Source organism: Homo sapiens, chromosome 6 (assembly GCF_000001405.40).
Source record: "Homo sapiens chromosome 6, GRCh38.p14 Primary Assembly".
NCBI lineage: Eukaryota > Metazoa > Chordata > Mammalia > Primates > Hominidae > Homo > Homo sapiens.
Window position 1 is genome coordinate 75,754,307 of NC_000006.12, and position 20,356 is coordinate 75,774,662.

Below are 20,356 nucleotides of genomic sequence, written 5' to 3' on the forward strand. Positions count from 1 at the left end.
GGTCAGGAGTTCAGACCAGCCTGGGCAATGTGGTGAAACCCCATCTCTACTAAAAATACAAAAATTAGCTGGGTGTGGTGGTGGGTGCCTGTAATCCCAGCTACTTGGGAGGCCAAGGCATGAGAATCACTTGAACCTGGCAGGTGGAAGTTGCAGTGCACTGAGATTGGGCCACTGCAGTCCAGCCTGGACGATTGAGTGAGACTCCGTCTCAAAAAAAAAAAAAAAAAAAAAAAAAAAGTAAGCCGCTGACTAACCTTTACAAGGTAATATATTTTCTGTGGCAGAATTTTTTGATTTCTGATCTATGTGGATGAACATCTTTTTCAACAGATATTTACTGAGGGCCCACTGTGTTTTAGATATGACAAGTGTGAACTGATTCCTCCCTGTGCTGGCATATCTTTGGATCCAGGAAATAGGAAGAGTTGCAGAGATATGAAAAAATAAATAGAAACCATCCATTTGAAATCCAAAGACATATACGTCAAAAGCTAATAACTTATATTTGGATGGCATTTTATTGCTTTAAAATATTTTTGTATGCATTTGGTCCTTAAAACAACTTGATGAAGTAGATTTAGTAAATTTATTCCTTTTCTACAGGTAAGGAAATGGAGACTCAAAAAATTAAAAATACTGGCTGCATGTGGTGGCTCATGCCGGTAATCCCAGCACTTTGGGAGGCTGAGGTTGGGAGGATCACTTTAGCCCAGGAGTTTGAGAACAGCCTGGGCAACATGGTGAAACCCTTTCACAAAAAATATTATACAAAAATTAGCTGGGTGTGGTGGTGCACGCCTATAGTGCTAGCTGTGTAGGAGGCTGAGGTTGGAGGATCTCCTGAGCCCAAGAGGTCAAGGCTGCAGTGAGCTGTGATTGCACCACTGCACTCCAGTCTGGGTGACAGAGCAAGATCCCGTCTCTAAATAAATAAATACATTACTTAAAATTAAGTAACTTGTTCAAGGTCAATGTGGCTACTTAGAAGCATCATCTCTGTGTAGTCCCAAAGTAGTAAGTCCTCCACTTTCCCCCTATTGCTTATGTATTTAACCTCACATTATGGCTTCAAGTCAGGTGGTTCAGGAAGTTCTGAAAAATTAGGGTCACTAAAATGGTGATTATTAAATTGTTACAGGTTATTTTTTAATGGAAGATAGAAGATGAGCATGATGCATCATTATGGAACTACTTTAACATTTTAAATAGATTGCTAGACTGAAATTGGTAATTAGCTTTTCTAGTTGGAGAATTTTTAAAGAACAATTAGTTAAAAAAAGGAAGGAGAAAAATGTTCTGGGGGAATTTTGAAAATAACTTTTATTACTTTGTGCATTGGTAGTGATCCGATAGTTACAACTGTCTTTGTAAAGACTCACTAAAGAACTGTGTGTGCGTCTGTGTTGGTTCCTTTATGTCTTCATTTATTTAAAACGTACTGTAGTGTCTACCACGGACCAGGCACTATTCTAAGTTCTAGGGATACAGTGATTAAATTAAGACCAAGCCCCTGTACTGACATTTTATTGTTGTTTTGAATTAAGTTAATTATAGACTCTTCATACTAGGATGTAATCAACAGGGCTGACCCTAAAGTTGGGAAATAGGCAGTTGTCAAAATTGTGCAATTTAAAGGCTACTGCATGACTTACTTGCTCTGGAATATTTCTGACCTATCTGTCGAAGACTCCCAGACTATTGGGTTATGGCGCTGTTACCAACCTGCTTTGATAAATATAAGTATGTTCCATCATTTATCACACTTTTAGCAAAGAAAACTGAGAGAAAATAAATGGGAACTAGAATTGGACACGGTGATGCTTACCTGTAGTCCTAGCTACTCAGGCGGCTGAGGCAGGAGGAATGCTTGAGCCCAGGTGTTTGAGGCCAGCCTAGGCAACATAGCCAGATTCTGTCTCAAAAAAAAAAAACAACAAGCAAGCAAAAAACAAATGGGACTAGGACTGATATGTTGGTGTTGTAAGAGAAGAGGTTAGCAAAGTATAATTTTAATAGCAGCTATTGTTTTTTCTTTTTTTTTGAGACGGAGTCTCGCTCTGTCACCCAGGCTGGAGTGCAGTGGTGCAATCTTGGCTCACTGCAACTTCCGCCTCTCGGGTTCAAGCGATTCCCCTGCCTCAGCCTCCTGAGTAGCCGGGATTACAGGTGCTCACGACCATGCCTGGCTAATTTTTGTATTTGTAGTAGAGGTGGGGTTTCACCATGTTGGCCAGGCTGGTCTCGAACTTCTGACTTCAGGTGATCTGCCCGCCTTCGCCTCCCAAACTGCTGAGATTACAGGCATGAGCCACTGTGCCTGGCCAATAGCAGCTATTGTTTATTGAGCTTTTACTACCATGTCAGATATTATGCCAAGTGAGTATTTTTGTATACATTAGCTCAATCACTGTGTCACCTCAGTGGTGCTGGTGTTATGACCTTCATTTTACAGATTAGGAAACTGAGGGGCAGAGATGTTAAATTTGCTCAAGCTTATTTGGTGGTGCTGGAATTTGGGTCTCTGCTAGTACTAAGCAGGTAGTAGATACTAATGTGGAAAGAGTACTTATGTGTGTTGTGTGTGTATATATATATATATATACACATATATATACACACCATATATAGTGTGTATATATGTGTATATATGTATACACACATATATAGTGTGTATATATGTATACACACATATATAGTGTGTATATATGTATACACACATATATAGTGTGTATATATGTGTATATATGTATACACACATATATAGTGTGTATATATATGTATACGCAATATGTATTGTGTATATATGTGTATATATGTATATACAAGAGTACTTATGTGTGTTGTGTGTGTGTATGTATATACACACATATATACACACATATATTGTGTATATATGTATATAGACATATATACATATACATATATAGACATACATACATATGTGTGTGTATATATGTATATAGACATATACACAATATATGTGTGTGTATGTATACACACACATATACATATAGAACATATATACATATACATATAGAACATCAGAAGTCTGTGTGTGTGTGTGTATATATATGTATACACATATATATACACACACACACATAGAGACAGACTTCTGATGTTCTGCTAGGATGTGTGACACATCACAGAGGTGGGCGACCTTGGTGTGGGAGTGATGGGTGTGGGGAGTCAGGATAGCTTGTTGGGTGAGGGGTGGGAATTGGGGTTGGAAGGAGATGGGAGGGTATTACTTGCCTAACTACTTGGTCGTCAGGCTTAATCCTCTCTCTGACAGCCCTGGGGTTCCAGAGTTGCGTTTAAGCACAGTGCTTTCTTGTCCAGCTCCTGGGTAAGAGGATAGGCAGACCTGAGGCAATCCTGGTTTTGTCACTCATTAACTTGGTCAAATTATTTCATTTCTCTAGGCTTCAGTTTTCTCATCTATAAAATGGAAGTAACAATATTACCTACCTGGTGTGGTTCTTATGAGGATTGAATTAGATAATAATACATGTAAAACACAGATCACACTGGCTAGCACATAGTGTACATTCATTATTATTGTTGTTACTGTGTTTTTTTTTGTCATGTTTAATGTGGAATTTTCATCGAAAAGCAAGAAGAGCAATATATTAGTGATTTGGTTGGAATCTTGAAGTTGGCTTTTTTTTTTTTTTTTTTTTTTTGAGATGGAGTCTCGTTCTGTTGCCCAGGCTGGAGTGCAGTAGCGCGATCTTGGCTCACCACACCTTCTGCCTCCCAGGTTCAAGCAATTCTCCTGCCTCAGCTTCCCGAGTAGCTGGGACTACAGGCACGTGCCACCATGCCCAGCCAATTTTTGTATTTTTAGTAGACACGGGGTTTCACTATGTTGGCAAGCTTCCCTTTTGATTTATGTGCAAACTGGAATTAGAGAACTACTAGCTTAAACTTTTTCTTTATCTTTTGGTTAGGGAGGGCTTCAACAAGATTAACGACAATTTGCTTGGGTTAACCAGGCAGTATGTGGTAGAGGGAAGTGAAATATGTTACCAGAATCTCTTCATTGACTTTTTTTTAAAGCTTATTTGGGGCTTATAGCATTGTATGGAGAAGACAATGCAGTGTTAAATTTCGCACCTAAATTAGATTGTAATGACTGTTTCAGCTTTTTGTTTGTTTGTTTGTTTGAGATGGAGTCTCGCTCTGTCACCCAGGCTGGAGTGCAGTGTTGCCATCTCAGCTCACTGCAAGCTCCGCCTCCTGGGTTCACGCCATTCTCCTGCCTCAGCCTCCCAAGTAGCTGGGACTACAGGCTCCCGCCACCACGCCCAGCTAATTTTTCTTATTTAGTAGAGATGGGGTTTCACTGTGTTAGCCAGGATGGTCTTGCTCTCCTGACCTCGTGATCTGCCCGACTCGGCCTCCCAGAGTGTTGGGATTACAGGCGTGAGCCACCGCGCCTGGCCTGTTTCAGCTTTTTAACTAGCTTCATTCGGAGGTGATTAGTTAATATTAGTTAAAATTGTTAATTTTTAACGATTATACAAATAGTAAAAATGTATAAATACATGTTTGTATAGATCTTTTTTTTTTTTTGAGATGTAGTCTCACCCTGTTGCCCACGCTGGAGTGCAGTGGCATGATCTCAGCTCACTGCAATCTCCCCCTCCCAGGTTCAAGCGATTCTAATGTCTCAGCCTCCTGAGTAGCTGGGATCACAGGCATGTGCCACCATGCCCGGCTAATTTTTATATTTTTAGTGGAGACGGGGTTTCACCATGTTGGCCAGGCTGGTCTCGAACTCCTGACCTCAGCTGAGCCACCCGCCTCAGTCTCCCAAAGTGCTGGGATTACAGGAGTGAGCCACAGCGCCCGGCCGTTTCTATAGATCCGGTCATTTCTATAGATCTTAAAAACTTTCAAAAACTTAGATTTCTTTAGATAATGTGCTGTTGAATAATCAGACTTGGCATTGTTAGTCATATCAGGCAAAGCCCCAAAAGGAAGGAGATTTTACCCCTGGTGGTTCACATGAAGAGGCTATTTGCAGAGGTTAGAGAACAAACAAGTGTGGTAAAGCGCTCAGGGATTAGAAACAGTAAGAAATTCTTAGTTCTCCAGAAATTACCAGAGCAGAAAGCTGGCATTGTAGAGGAGGGCTAGAGGGAGCTGCGGTTTTGAAGCAGGAGGGGCGTGAAGGGAGGTTCCCTGATCTCTCTTCCCTCTTCCTCCGAGTCTCCACCGGTGACTTACTTTACTAGAACCCAGCTGGGGAGCCCAGGTGATTTTTTTTTTTTTTAAAGCTCATTCTCCCAGTGCAAGAGCAGAGAAAGAATTGAGGATGTGAAGGAGCAAATGGAGATTAACTAGGACATTATTTAGAACCTTTGGGGATTTGTAGCATTTCCTTGGTACATTTTAAAAAAAACTTGTAGCATTGTGATACATCTGCAAAATACTTGGGACTAATTGTTTTATACATGCTTTCAGAAATAGTTTAATCACTTTCTCATTTAACTGAACAATTATTTTAGGAAATTTTGATGATCCGTATAACCCAACAAGAAACATAATCTAGGTCTGTTAACACAAAGCACTTTTGTTAATATACTGTTATACTTTGCTGAGGTTTTCTGAAATTTTCTTCACTAGGCAGTCCTGGTTTAATGGAATACATGTTTCTTTCATTAAAAATCTTTAGTGACTAAATTAAAAATATTTTGGCAATAAGTCTTTCGCTTTTCTGGAATTTATACTTGTATTCACCTGGAATTTTTTTTGACAGCAAGAGCACTAGAACATAGTGTTGATATGGTAATAGTTCATAGAAGCAAGACTATTGGGAAATAGTTGTTCGTCCTTCCCAAGTCCTTTTGAGGACACATTAAATTTCTGTATAAATCTGTTGCAGTTTGCTGTTATCTTGCAGTTGCTGATATTTTGCTAATGCCAATTTTACCTAGTTAATCTTAGTTCTGGCAAAAAGTTTGTGCTCTTTATTTTGGATAGATTCCTTAGGGGTTACTAAAGAAAAGGATTTCTCTTCTTAAAGAGATGGTATGAAGGATTCTAGGGATATAAGTAATACTCCCCCCAAAACAATTAGATTATGACTTATATTTTCTTTCTTCTCTTGAGGATTCCAGGGAAAAAGAAGTACAAGATCTTACTCAGATTAAGAAGCAGCTAGAGAGGGCCTTGTTCATGACCTCCAGAAAAGGAAAAGCCGTATTGTGCAGGGTTGAGCAGATGAATAAACATCTGGCTGAGAGAATTTAGCATACAAATAAAGTATACCTCTGGATATAAATGTTATAACTGAGTTAAAAAAAAAACAAATATGTTTCCCAGCTTGTCTTTTTTAGAGAGTATGGTGAAAATGAGAAACAGGTTTGGAATCAACTGAATAACACCTGTGGTTGGAAACCAACCATTTAGACATTTTCTCTGTAAGTAGGCTTTTTTTTTTTTAAAGGAGTGATTTTCAAACTTTTGTGGGATCTTCTAAAAACATATTGTTTATTTGGATTTGACACTGATGGAATCAGTATCCCGCAGGAGATATTTGAGGCTCTTAGTTTTTCCATGTTGTATTCTTTGAATTTCCTTGATTTGAGGATTGAGTTATTCCAGAGAGAACTTTTCTCTTCTTCCTTGTTATTTTTTTTCTAAAATTAGATGAACCAGCTGTGTTTTGGTTTGTGGGCATGATTTGCTGTCTGTTATCCTTTTGGTCTTAGTATCTGGGGGAAGAACAAAGAACCTGTGTGTGTTTTGAAGAAGAATGTATTAGTTTCTCTGCTCTTCTTGTTCATCTTGGTTGATCTTTAAGATGAGAAGAACGAAGAAAATACTTTATGTACTTATTATTCTTGTGTTTGATATTTCAAACAAAACTGTGGCTTGTATTGGCCACTGAGATGATGGAGAAAACAGGTGAATGTAAAGTGAAAAACTAGTCATCATGTATTCAAATGGCTAATTGAAGAGGTTTATGTTAAAGGTTTTCTTTCAGGTATGGGAGGAGGGAAAAGAAGGATGGAAATTGAATGAGTTTGACCATATGACCAGCTGTCACGACAGATGTTTTAGCAACCAGGAAATATTTATTTCAATCAGAATTTAATTTTATATTTTATAGGGATGCATTCTACTAATAAGCCTTTTTTTTGGAAGGAAAGTGAGGATAAGTTAGGAATTTATAAACCAATTTGGTGATTTTAGTAAGTCATTAGTAAAAATGGAGATAGCCTGGTGGCTGCATATACTGATGCTAGTATGTTAGAAAATGGGCTGTTAGAACACACACACACACACACACACACACACACACACAGACACATTTTTTTTTTCCTTTTTGCCAGATGTGCAACTGTATACAGAGGGCTATTATTTATTAAAGGTGTGTTTCTGGAACTGGCCCAGAATGTCATGGACTTTAGTCCTGTTTTCTAGGATTCTGCTATTTGGTATATAACACTGATATAGGTTAGTATTTTCAGAACATGTGGACAACAGAGTAGGTCAGCATGATTGAACAGTGAAAGGTTTATGTCAGATGGGTTCGGGGTGGCAGTATATTGTAATGATGGATTGAATGAGTGATCTAAAATCATCCTAGCACAGTATAATTGTAACAGTTCTTTTTTTTTTTTTTTAAGACAGAGTCTCACTCTGTCGCCCAGGCTGGAGTGCAGTGGCGTGATCTCGGCTCACTACAAGCCCCGCCTGCCAGGTTCACGCCATTCTCCTGCCTCAGCCTCCTGAGTAGCTGGAACTACAGGCGTCAGCCACCACGCCCAGCTAATTTTGTGTTTGTATTTTTAGTAGAGACAGAGTGTCACCATGTTAGCCAGGATGGTCTCGATATCCTGACCTCATGATCCGCCTGCCTCGGCCTCCCATAGTGCTGGGATTACAGGCATGAGCCACTGTGCCCCCGGCCATAATTATAACAATTCTTGAGGGCCAATTATATGCCGTCACTTTGAGTGTTTTGCAGTTATTTTCTCATTTAATTCTCACGTTGACCCTATGAGGTGACTATTCTTATTATTCTATTTTATAGCTGAGAGAGCTGAGGTCTAAGTAACTTGAGAAGGTGATAGATGTAGTAAGGAGTAGAGTCAAAAGATGCTTCCAGGTGGTCTGGCTCTAGAGTCTTTGCTCCACTTAGAATTCTAAGCTTGCTTTTTCTGTGTGCTCTTTTAAACACTCAGAGCTTTGAAAATCAAAGAGTTAATCTTTTCTGTTTTTATCTCCCTACACAAACAGTAGTAAAATGGTGACATTCGTGCATCTATGCCCCACTCTCAAGTCCAGGGAAGACAGTTCTGTGATACCCACTTCCCTTCTGAGCCAGACTCACCCTCAGATTTCTGCTCTGCACAGGGCTCCAGCCTCCGCTGCCAGTGGATGAGAGAGGGGAGGCCTCCTAGACCCAAATCTAAGCCATTGTCTGCAGCTCTTGTCTTTTAAACCTCTTAACAACTACCTGTTTTAGTTATATACCTGTTATAATTACATACTTAATGTATGTGCCTTAAGCAAATGTATTCCTGTAAAGTTTTATGTAAATAATGAATTTAAGTGTAATTTAATTTTTTTTTTGTAGAGATAGGGGTCTTACTGTGTTGCCCAGGCTGGTATTGAACTCCTGGTCTCAAGTGATCCTCCTGCCTTGGCCTCCCAAAATGCTGAGATTATAGGCATGAGCCACTGCATCTGACCTGTAATTTTTTTTTTTTTTTTTTGAGACGGAGTCTCACTCTGTTGCCCAGGCTGGAGTGCAGTGGCATGATCTCGGCTCACTGCAACCTCCACCGTCCGAGATCAAGCGATTCTCCTGCCTTAGCCTCCTGAGTAGCTGGGATTACAGGCACCTGCCACGCCTGGTTAATTCTTGTATTTTCTTAGTAGAGACGGGGTTTCACCATCTTGGCCAGGCTGGTCTTGAACTCCTGACCTCATGATCCACCCACCTTGGCCTCCCAAAGTGCTGGGATTACAGGCGTGAGCCACTGTGCCCGGCATAATTTTTTTATTATTCTGGGAAAGCTTCCTATTTAAAGGGTCCCAGTGATAATTTCTTTTGTAAAGAGAAGAATCTTTGTATAAAACAAATGATTGTTTCCTAGATTATATTAATAAAATACGGATTTTTCACACATTACTTTTGCATAAACATAGTTCTAGCTAAATACATATTTGATATAAACATGCCAAAATGAAATTTGATCTTATATTGTGCTTCATATTACTAATAAAAAAGGATTGAATAATAGTTTTTTCCTTGAATAAATGTCATTTGTTGGATTTGCACTAAAATGTGCTTTTGTAGGCTTATCTACAGTAAGAATAATATTCTTTTAGGCAGTAGGTTGAGGTTCAATATGTAACACAATAGTATATTATTTTGTTATAAAATTCATTAGGTAAATGCTAGAGTTCTACTTAAGTGCCAAAATCAGTATTTTATGATTCTGAAATAAATTATCTGAAAATAACAAAGTTTAGAGAGATAACTTAAAAACTTACAGTTGAAAGACAAACTAGTCTTTGAAAAAAATATTTTTCTGTAACACCAGGTAAAATACTTATTTCCTGTAGTTAATATAATGCTAATGAGGTCTTGATCCCAGATTCATTGTAATTTGTGCTGTGTCCCTAAACACTCAACAGTGACTACTCTGTAACTAATTAATAGATCCAGTGGCCTCATTTAGAGCATTATTCTTTTCCAACCTCTTCATCTATTTCTTTTTTTGTTTTTTAGAGATAGAGTCTCACTCTCATCCTGGCTGGACTGCATTCGTACCATTATAGATCATGGCAGCCTCAAACTCCTGGGCTCAAGTGATCCTCCACCTCAGCTTCCCAAAGTGCTGGGATTATGGATGCGGGCCACCATGCCTGGTCTCTAAATTCTTACTGTGTGATTCAAAATCCTTTTTGACCTATCTTGCCCCACTTTTTCACTATAGCACTCATCACACCTGTGCCATTCTCCTTCGCTCTAGCCCCGTTGGCCTCTTCCCCAAACGTGTCCCCATTCTCCTTTCTCCTTAGTCTTGTTCAAACAAACCCTTTGTCTGGAGTGCACTTTTCTTTAGTCATTCTTACCCATCTTTCACTACCTGCTTGAATTAAATCTTTGAAAGTAGCCACCCCAAATTTACTATTTGGAATTACACTGGTATTATAATGTACATCAAAGGTTCTGTGATGTATGTGTATCTTCTTTCATTCTTGTCTACTCTACCTAGATTGTGAATTACTGGAGGGTATAAACTGCCTAGCGAGGGGCTTTGTAAGGTTTTTTTTGATCAGTGGATCTCAGGTCTCAGGACTCTTTTACACACTTAAAAATTACTGAAGACTGCGTATTTTGTTTATGTGGATTATATCTATTGATATTCACTGTATTAGAAATTTAAAAATGATTTGATCCAGGCCAGGCACTTTGAGAGGCTGAGGCAGGCAGATCACTTGAGGCCAGGAGTTCAAGACCCGCCTAGCCAACATGGTAAAACCCCGTCTCTACTAAAAATACAAAAAATTAGCCGGGCGTGGTGGCAGGCACCTGTAGTCCCAGCTACTCGGGAGGCTGAGGCAGGAGAATGGCGTGAATCCAGGAGGTGGAGCTTGCAGTGAGCCGAGATCATGCCACTGCGCTCCAGCCTGGGCGACAGAGCTAGACTCCGTCTCAAACAAAAAAAAAAAAGAGAGAGAGACTTGAAGGTCAGATAGCTAACCACTGGCAGAACTGAAAGTTAATTCATAAGTCTCTTAGTTTGGAGTTCATTTTTCCTGTCAATATTGTGCAGTTAAAAAATTTAGAGGTAATTTCACATATAAGGCTATGACTAAAAAAAAAAGCTTTTTTTTTTTTTTTTTTTTTTTTGAGACAGAGTCTTGCTCTGTCACCCAGGCTGGAGTGCAGTGGTGCAATCTCAGCTCACTGCAACCTCCACCCCCTGGGTCCAAGCGATTCTCGAGCCTCAGCCTCCCAAGTAGCTGGGACTACAGGTGCACACTACCACGCCTGGCTAATTTTTGTATTTTTAGTAGAGATGGGGTTTCACCATGTTGACCAGACTGGTCTTGAATTCCTGACCTCAAGTGATCTGCCTGCCTCAGCCTCCCAAAGTGTTGGGATTACAGGCATGAGCCACTGCATCTGGCCAAAAATAAACATTTCTTTTTGTGCTATAATATAATAAAATTCTGTAGGGAAGAAATTTCTGAACTCTTACCCAGTGCTCTAGAATCAAGTTTCATCTATTTGTTTCACCTCTTAAAAAAAAAATTACCAGAAGTGATGGTATGTGCATCTAGTCCCACCTACTCAGGAGGCTGAGGTGGGAGGATTGCTTGAACTCAGGAGTTTGAGGCTGCAGTGAACTATGATCATGCCACTGCACTGATACAGCAAGAACTTCAAAAAAAAGAAAAGGCTAGGCTCAGTGATTTATGCCAGTAATGCAACACTTTGGGAGGTTGAGGTGGGAGGATCATTTGAGCCCAGGAGTTTAAGACCAGTCTGGACAACATAGCAAAACCTCTCTACTAAGAATAAAAAAAAGGTTAGCTGGGCGTGGTAGGTGTGTGCCTGTAGTTCCAGCTATTTTGGAGGCTGAAGTGGGAGGATTGCTTGAGCCTGGGAGTTTGAGATGGCAGTGTGATATAATTGCACCACTGAACTTCAGCCTGGGCAACAGAGTGAGACTCCGTCTCAAAGAAAAAAGCAGGCTGGGCATGGTGGCTCACACCTGTAATCCCAGCACTTTTGAAGGCCGAGGCGGGCAGATCACTTGAGGCCAGGAGTTCGAGACTATCCTGGCCAACATGGCGAAACCCCGTCTCTACTAAGAATACAAAAGTTAGCTGGGCGGGGTGGCGGGTGCCTGTAATCCCAGCTACGTGGGAGGCTGAGGCAGGAGAATCGCTTGAACCCAGGAGGTGGAGGTTGCAGTGAGCAGAGACCACACCATTGTGCTCCAGCGTGGGTAAAAGAACTAGACTCTGTCTCAAAAAAAAGAAAAAAAGAAAAAAACTAGTAGACAGTGTAACCTACACATATGTGTGTGTGTGTATATTTTATATATATACATATACAGATATATACACTTAAAAATTAATACAGTATTCTAACATAAAGGAAAGTTATTAAATTATTAATTATAGTAATTACATTAATATATTGTTTATTTCAGTTTGTGAAGGTGCAGGCAGTCCTTTACTACAAGGCAGAATAAAGTAGTCAGATGCTACTAACATCTACATGTAGAATAATCATGAATGCAGCAGCTGTAAATTAGACTAATATGCAAGTATTGTAATTGGTGACTCAAATATCTTTATTAGCATTGCTCTATAATGTGATTTTTCCAGCATGATGAACACCTTTTGGTAAAGTTCCAAATAAAGGACAGTCTTCTTTCAATTTATGTGTTATTGTATGCTTTTTAGTCAGTGTGTGTTAAAGCAATGCAAAAATATTTTAAATATATGTACACATATATTGGATTAGATTCTGGGCTTACCTATGTTCTCCTCTGAATTTGCTGTTCATTTTACCTTCTATACATCATTAGTGGCATCACAATAATTTGAAAATTTGAAATAAAAAGTTCTTGGCCCATACCCACAGGAGCTGGATCAGTTTGTAGCATCCTCACAGACATTTGTGCTGGCTGCAGTATTTTTATTTTTTTGTGTCATCTTCCTCAATTCATTCTTTTTTTTTTTTTGAGATGGAGTCTTGCTCTGTCGCCCAGGCTGGAGTGCAGTGGCACAATCTTGGCTCACTGCCACCTCTGCCTCCCAGGTTCAAGTGATTCTCATGCCTCAGCCACCTGAGTAGATGAGATTACAGGCGTGCACCACCACGCCCAGCTAATATTTTGTATTTTTAGTAGAGACGAGTTTTACCATGTTGACTAGGCTGGTCTCGAACTCCTGGCCTCAAGTGATCTGCCCATCTTGGCCTCCCAGAGTGTTGGGATTACAGCCGTGAGCCACTATGCCTGGCCCTCAATTTATTCTTGAGTGTTGCATTCCTGTCTTTAAGTGAGACACTGAAGCTTTTACATTCTGAATAATAATACATATAAATAAATAATAAGAATGAATATAAAATTAATGTTTCATTTAAAGTGATGTAAATGAGAAACTATAATAGTTATAAATAGTATATGGTTCATAAATACACATGATTTACAAATTCCTTTTTTTTTTTTTTTTTTTGAGGCAGAGTCTCACTGTTGCTCAGGCTGGAGTGTGGTGGCATGATCTCAGCTCATTGCAGTCTCTGTCTTCCGGGCTTAAGCGATCCTCCCACCCCAGCCTCTGAGTAACTGAGACTACAGGTGCGCACCACCACACCCGGCTAATTTTTGTATTTTTGTAGTCAGGCTTTTGCCATGTTGCTCAGGCTGGTCTCTTAACTTCTGAGCTCAAGCCATCTGCTTGCCTTGGCCTCCCAAAGTGCTGGGACTTCAGGTGTGAGCCATTGCCCCTGGCCACAAATTCTATTCTTAAGCAATTAAATTGGTGGAAATTTCTTGCATTTAAAAAAAATGAATTTACTACAGAAATTATATTTTGCCTCCCAAAACACTTTCACCATTTTTAAAAATAATGAAATAAGGTTTGTTGCCCAGGTTGGTCTTAACTCCGGGTATCAAGTGATTCTCCTGCCTCAGCCTCCTAAGTAGCTGGGATTACATGTTGGAAGAGCTGCCCAGTGTGTCTGCAATAATAAAAAAGAAACTGAAACATTTTACCAGTTTGCATTTGCCCAGGAGCTATGGTGATCTTCTTTGAGTCCTTCCAATTTTAGTATATGTGCTGCCAAAGTGAGCACCTCTCAGTGTTTTTATGGGTGTATCTATTGCAGAATGCATAAATAACTTTTTTACCTGTAGTTTTAGAATATTTGGATGTTAATAATCTGATCTATTTTGCACCTGAATTTAAATACAAGATTTTAAAAAATTTCACAAAAGAGTTTTCCTCCAAGTGTAAATAATTCATTTTATTTTATTTTATTTTATTTTATTTTATTTTATTTTATTTTATTTTATTTTATTTTATTTTATTTTATGAGATGGAGTCTTGCTCTATCACCCAGGCTGGAGTGCAGTGGTGTGATCTCGGCTCACTGCAACCTCCGCTTCCTGGGCTCATGTGATTCTCCTGCCTCAGCCTCCCGAGTAGCTGGGACTACAGGCGCCTGCCACTATGGCTGGCTAATTTTTTGTATTTTTAGTAGAGATGGGGTTTCACCATGTTGGCCAGGTTGGTCTCAAACTCCTGACCTTAAGTGATCCACCAGCCTCTGACTCCCAAAGTGCTGGGATTACCGGTATGAGCCACTGTGCCTGGCCAATAATTCATTTTAATACCTTCAAGGGATAGTGAGTTTGGGAATAAGCAAAGGGAGTAGCAAATTATTGCTGTAAAATATATGAACTATATATGAACTATTTTGCCATAGAGAATGTATTAGTCTGGTTTTTGTGTTGCTGTAAAGGAATGCCTGAGACTGAGTAATTTATAAAGAAAAGAGGTTTAATTGGCACAGGGTTCTGTAGGATGTAGAAGCATGGTACCAGCATCTGCTTCTGGTGAGGGCCTCAGGAAGCTTACTGTCATAGTGAAAGGCAAAGGGAGAGAGGTTGTTGTCACATGGTGAGAGTGGCAGCAAGAGAAAAAGGAGGGAAGTGCCACACTCTTTTAAACAACCAGATTTCTTGTGAACTCAGAGCGAGCACTCACTCATTTGTGGGGGTGGCACCAAGCCATTCATGAGGGATCTGCCTGCATGCCTGAAACACCTCCCATCAGGTCCCATCTCTAACATCGGAGGCCACATTTCAGCATGAGATTTGGAGGGAGCAAATGTCCAAACCATATCTTTCCACCAAATCTCATGTTCTTTTCACATCGTAAAATACAATCATCCCTTCCCAAAAGTCCCTCAAAGTCTTAACTCATTCCAGCAAGACCAAAGTCCTAAGTCTCATCTGAGACTCATCTCCTTCCACCCATGAGCCTGTAAAATCAAAACAAGTTATTTACTTCCAAGATACAGTGAGGGTACAGGCTTTGGGTAAGCATTCCCATTCCAGAAGGGAGGAATTGGCTAAAAGAAAGGGGTTACAGGTCCCTGAAACCCAACAGGGCAGTCATTAAATCTTAAAGCTTTAAAATAATCCCCTTTGACTCTGTGTTCCACATCCAGGGCACACTGGTGCAAGTCGTGGGCTCCCAAGGTCTCGGGCAGCTCCACTCCCTCTGCTGCTCTCAAGAATAGAATTGAGTAGGCTGGGCGTGGTGGCTCATGCCTGTAATCCCAGCACTTTGGGAGGCCGAGGTGGGTGGATCACGAGGTCAGGAGATCGAGACCATCCTGGCTAACACGGTGAAACCCGTCTCTACTAAAAATACGAAAAATTAGCTGGGCATGGTGGCACATGCCTGTAATCCCAGCTACTTGGGAGGCTGAGGCAGGAGAATTGCTTGAACCTGGGAGGCAGAGGTTTCAGTGAGCTGAGATCGTGCCATTGCACTCTGGCCTGGGCTACACGGTGAGACTCTGTCTCAAAGGAAAAAAAAAAAGAATAGAGTTGAGTGCCTGTGGCTTTTCCAGGTTCAGGATGCAAACTGCTAGTGGTTCTGTCATTCTCACTTCTGGAGGGCAGTGGCCCCCTTCTCACAGCTCCAGTAGGTGGTGCCCTGGTGGGGACTCTGTGGGGGCTCAGACCCCACATTTCCCTTCCTCACTACCCTAGTAGATTTCTCTGTTAGGGCTTCTCTTGCTTCGTCTTCTTGCTTCTGCTCTCACCATGTAACACCACCCACTCTCCCTTTGCGTTGCACTATGATTGTAAGCTTCATGAGGCCCTTTCCAGAAGCAGATGCTGCAGCCCTGCTTATACAGCCTGCAGGACTGTGAAGCAATTGAAACTCTTTTCTTAAAAGTTATCCTGTGTCAGGTATTCCTTCATAGCAAGGTAAAAACAGACCAACACAGAGAGATTGTTATAAAGATACAAAGAGAAATTCCGTAATGAGATACCTAGTTGAAAACAGCCAGAAGTAATGTTCTCATGTTGTTTATTATATATAGTATTTGTTGCTCTGTATGTGGTATTCAAACTTCTAAACTAACCTCCTTTAGGTTTGTTTGTTTGTTTTGAGACAGAGTCTCACTCTGTTGCCCAGGCTGGAGTGCAGTGGCATGATCTTGGCTTATTGCAACCTCCGCCTCCCGGGTTGAAGCGATTCTTTTGCCTCAGCCTCCTGAGTAGCCGGGATTACAAGCTTGCACCACCATGCCTGGCTAATTTTCGTATTTTTAGTAGACATGGGGCTTCGCCATGTTAAATAGTCTGGTCTTGAACTCCCGACCTCAGGTGATCCACCAGCCATGGCCTCCCAAAGTGCTGGGATTACAGGTGTGAGCCAGTGCCCTTGGCCTCATTTAGTTTTATAGGCATTTTCCAATGACCATTGTTTGTGTAATTGAAAGCCAGATGTCTTTTAACTGATTTATCTTTCCTGATTATTTGATGTCACATTGGCAATTTAGTTGAATCTTGATGGATAACAGTATAAATATTTTGATGTTGTTGACGAGGATAGTATTGATAGCTTACCCCAAGACACATGTGTAAGCTATAAGATAACAGCACTTTTTTTTTTCTTTTTTTTTTTTTCCCCCCTGAGATGGTCTCACTTTGTTGCTTAGGCTGGAGTGCAGTGATGCAAACACAGTTCATTGCAGCCTCGACCTCCTGGGCTCAAGTGATCCTCCCGCCTCAGCCCCCAAGTAGCTGGGACTAGAGGCTCATGCCACCGCGCCTGGCTAATTTTTGTATTTTTTGTAGAGACAGGGTTTCATCATGTTGTCCAGGCTTGTCTCAAACTCCTAAGCTCAAGTGATCTGGCCGCCTTGGCCTCCCAAAGTGCTGGAACTACAGGCGCCAGCCACTGCATCCAGCCCAGAAATTTTCTTAATAAAAAGGATTCTTCAAAGGGTTTTTTTTAGTGGCCTCCACTAAATTGTGTGTATAGCTCCCAGGAGTTTAATTAATAAACAAAAGGAAAAGAGTGAATATGTATTTTAACTCAAGGTACATTTATCTGTAGTTGTTCCTCATCAAAACTGCAGTAACTGTATTTAGATATTAGATGCTAAATGTATTTCTCTCTAAATAGAGTTTAGAGAGAAAAAATCAGCTACACAAAGATAGATCCTAAACAATTAAGAATCCTCCCAAATTTTAAAAGACAGTATGATGAAATCTTTCCCTTACTCCTGTTTGCAGTATAAATGAGATTGAGGTTGACTTTCTGAATAATTATTTACAGGAAAACAATAGAATTCACATTTGATACTGTGAGAAGTCAAATAATAGAATTCTAGGGTTGAGATACCTGTGCTACAGCTTAAACCATTAAGTCCCATATCTTGGAGGGTGGCATTTGTCAGTACTTTTTCAAAGATCCCCAGGTAGTTCCAATCTGCAGTTCAATTACTTATCTTTTTTAAAAATTAAATCTTTGTAAGTAAAACTTTCTTGTCAGGTGTTGAGGAAACTCTTGGTAACCAGAATGTTTTAAAAATTTAGTTTTTGTGTACTAATTTTTAAAATGTATGGTATCTTGTGGAGGAGTTAAAAAAGTAGAACACTCTCTGGGATAGAGACTTAAGAATTATTTAAAATTATTAAAATGGTACACTTGATACAAAATTTGAAAGTAGAAATTAATTCTGTTGAAACTAATACTGTTGAGTCTACTTTTCTGTTTCTGGCCTACCGTATCTAAACCACTCTAAACAGGTCACTCACTTGTTTTATCCTTATTTTAATGAGCTTCTGAGATGAAGTTTCTGTAACCTCTTTTTGTCTCCTGTTTGTCACAAAGATTCTTCATGTCTTACCTAAATTGCTTTGTTTACATTCTATGTTCGGAGATGTAGGTAGGCCATTTGATCATTGATGTGAGTATACACACTCATACACTATCCCCCACCCCCGTCGCACAGTTTAAAGCCTTCTCATTCGCATAGATAATTTTGTAAGTCTGAATAGCCTAATTTAGATAAACTTTCTTCGTAGTTCAATTAGAAAACTCTCCATTTTGAGTGCTTGGTTAGGTTTTAATATAAAGGAAACATTTTACATTAGGAATCATTGTTTTACTAACCTTACTGACAAAAAGAAATAGTGATGAGGAAATGACTAAAACCAGTTCAGACAGTATTGAGCATCCAGATACTACAAGGGTTGAGAACAGACGGGACTAAGAACACATGTGGAGAAGTCAGCTCTGAAAAGAGTTTTGGATCACCTTCAGGTATAGGTGGATGAAGTTACCGATGTGTTTTCAGTTGGAGAGGCAGAGTGTTGAGGAATTTTATACCTATTGTGTTGTATTTTTCTGTCAGGTAGGCATTAAGTCATCTTGATTTTCTGTAGGATGGAGATAATATTGGACCCTTCAATGAAGTGCTAAAGTTTTGAGATAGTATTTGAACTGTGTTGGTGATCTTTATAATTTTAGTAAATATACTTATTATTAAAGCATATTGTTCAATTATCTTGTTCAAATAATTGGATTTTTAAGTGTATTTACTTGACTTTTTAGGAAATGTTTAAATTGATTCTGTGAGGTAGGAAAGTGACTATAGGTTTATCTATATGTGTTTCTGATAGTCAAAAAAAGATGAAGTAATTGTCATAATTGTGACATAGAATCCATTAGAAGTGAAATAATATAGTTGGTGCAAATACTATGCTAGTGATAAACATGAGTGGTGAGAATGAAACAGATTCTTCCCAATTTGAACTTTCATATTCTGGTAGGCAGGCTGTTTACATGTGAGGATATTTTTAACACTTGATTGAATTTCTCCAAATTTTATATAAAATAATGAGTATCCAATTATGATCAGTAGTAAATAAAAAGTGGAATGTTTGACTTAACACTCAACTCTGCAGCTGAACCATTGTGGAGAAACTAAGGTTCGGAATGACAGCCACACAAGTTAGAGAAGATTTTAGGAAACTGGAATTGATTACCTTGAAAGAAATAAGACTAATGAGGTGATTCAGACATGTTTCAAATGCAGAAGGTAGTGATCATGTATCAATCAGTATTTTTTGGTGAAAACAGTAGAAGGCTTGATCTTCAGCTGCATTCAGAGGGATTTTAGACTAGTTTGTTAGTTTATTCATTGAGAGTTGTTTGCCTGCTATGTAGAGGCACAATGCCAGGATTGAGAGATGGATTTGTGAGCAGTACAGACACAGTCCCACCATCATCAAGCTTATGTTGCAGTAGGGAGATGGACATTAAACAACCTTTTATCATATGGTTATGCTTCAGTGGAGAAGTTCTGTGGGTGCTATGAAACCATATTAGAGAGGAAAGATGTGAGAAAGAGCAGTGTAAGATGGTGGCAAAACATTAGGATGGGTGACGGAATACCTCTGTGAACTAATCAGGCCTCTTTAAAAATTCACCCTTCCCAAACTACAAAATCAACTTATTTGTTCATTGTGGAAAATCCACAAAACCAAAATGAAGTGAATAAGAATCTTTGATATTTCTATTACATAGAGATAATCACTAGTTTTTTAGAAGGCCTTAAAAATTAAATGCATTTTCATCTTTATAAGGTGACTGGGAAATTTCATTTCTAGACCTGGAATTTATGGTTGTTGTTTCTCTGACTAATGCTGCTGTATCAAGAAGAGTAATTATCATAATGATACTACTGTAACACCTTGCTATAGCCCCACTTAATAATTGCTTGATGAATTATGTAAATGAATGTTCATTCATAGTCCAAAGCAAATAGTTTTTTGAGATGTTAAATATAACAGGTAATATAAATGCTTTTTTACATAATAAAATGTAATGAACTTATTTTTACATAATAAAATGGTATATATTTTTCTAGGTGAATGTAATTTAACAGCATGATAGTTAACATTTTTGTACCAAATAGGATTAATGATTTTTATTAATTATAGCCCTGTATAAATTTAAATAATTGATAGACCCATAATCCAGTAGTTTGAATAAAGTTATCTTTACTTTTGACATGTTCTTTTCATGCATTTCTGTCTTTCTACCACTAAATTGCTGATATTCATTTACTTTCCATTGGATCTTTTTTGCTACCATTAGAGAATGAATGCAATTTAATGTTTTATGTGACCATTTAGACCTTTAAATATTGAAATACATTAAAGCAACATGGGTGTTTTTACTTTTCATGTAACAATTGTCTTCTTACCTTTAAAAAAGTAGCTTCTTAAATAATAGTTAAAATTTTATGGTATATTTGTTA

General features: G+C 39.2%; 1 protein-coding gene and 1 pseudogene across 15 annotated transcripts in view, besides 2 other annotated features; one reads left to right on the top strand and one right to left on the bottom strand.

Annotated features, from left to right (window-relative positions):
• Window positions 1–20,356, top strand: part of MYO6 (myosin VI) — a 170,299-nt gene that overhangs the window by 5,068 nt on the left and 144,875 nt on the right. The gene's annotated exons all lie outside the window — the stretch shown is intronic.
• Window positions 2,118–2,617: an enhancer, noted in NCBI's record as "H3K4me1 hESC enhancer chr6:76466141-76466640 (GRCh37/hg19 assembly coordinates)". NCBI's record gives its function as "activates a minimal SCP1, AML or CMV promoter by ChIP-STARR-seq in naive H9 embryonic stem cells {active_cell/tissue: H9 hESC(naive)}" and the evidence as "EXISTENCE:reporter gene assay evidence [ECO:0000049][PMID:30033119]".
• On the bottom strand, window positions 13,753–13,852 carry RNU6-155P (RNA, U6 small nuclear 155, pseudogene; annotated as a pseudogene).
• Window positions 15,334–15,834: an enhancer, noted in NCBI's record as "H3K4me1 hESC enhancer chr6:76479357-76479857 (GRCh37/hg19 assembly coordinates)". NCBI's record gives its function as "activates a minimal SCP1, AML or CMV promoter by ChIP-STARR-seq in primed H9 embryonic stem cells {active_cell/tissue: H9 hESC(primed)}" and the evidence as "EXISTENCE:reporter gene assay evidence [ECO:0000049][PMID:30033119]".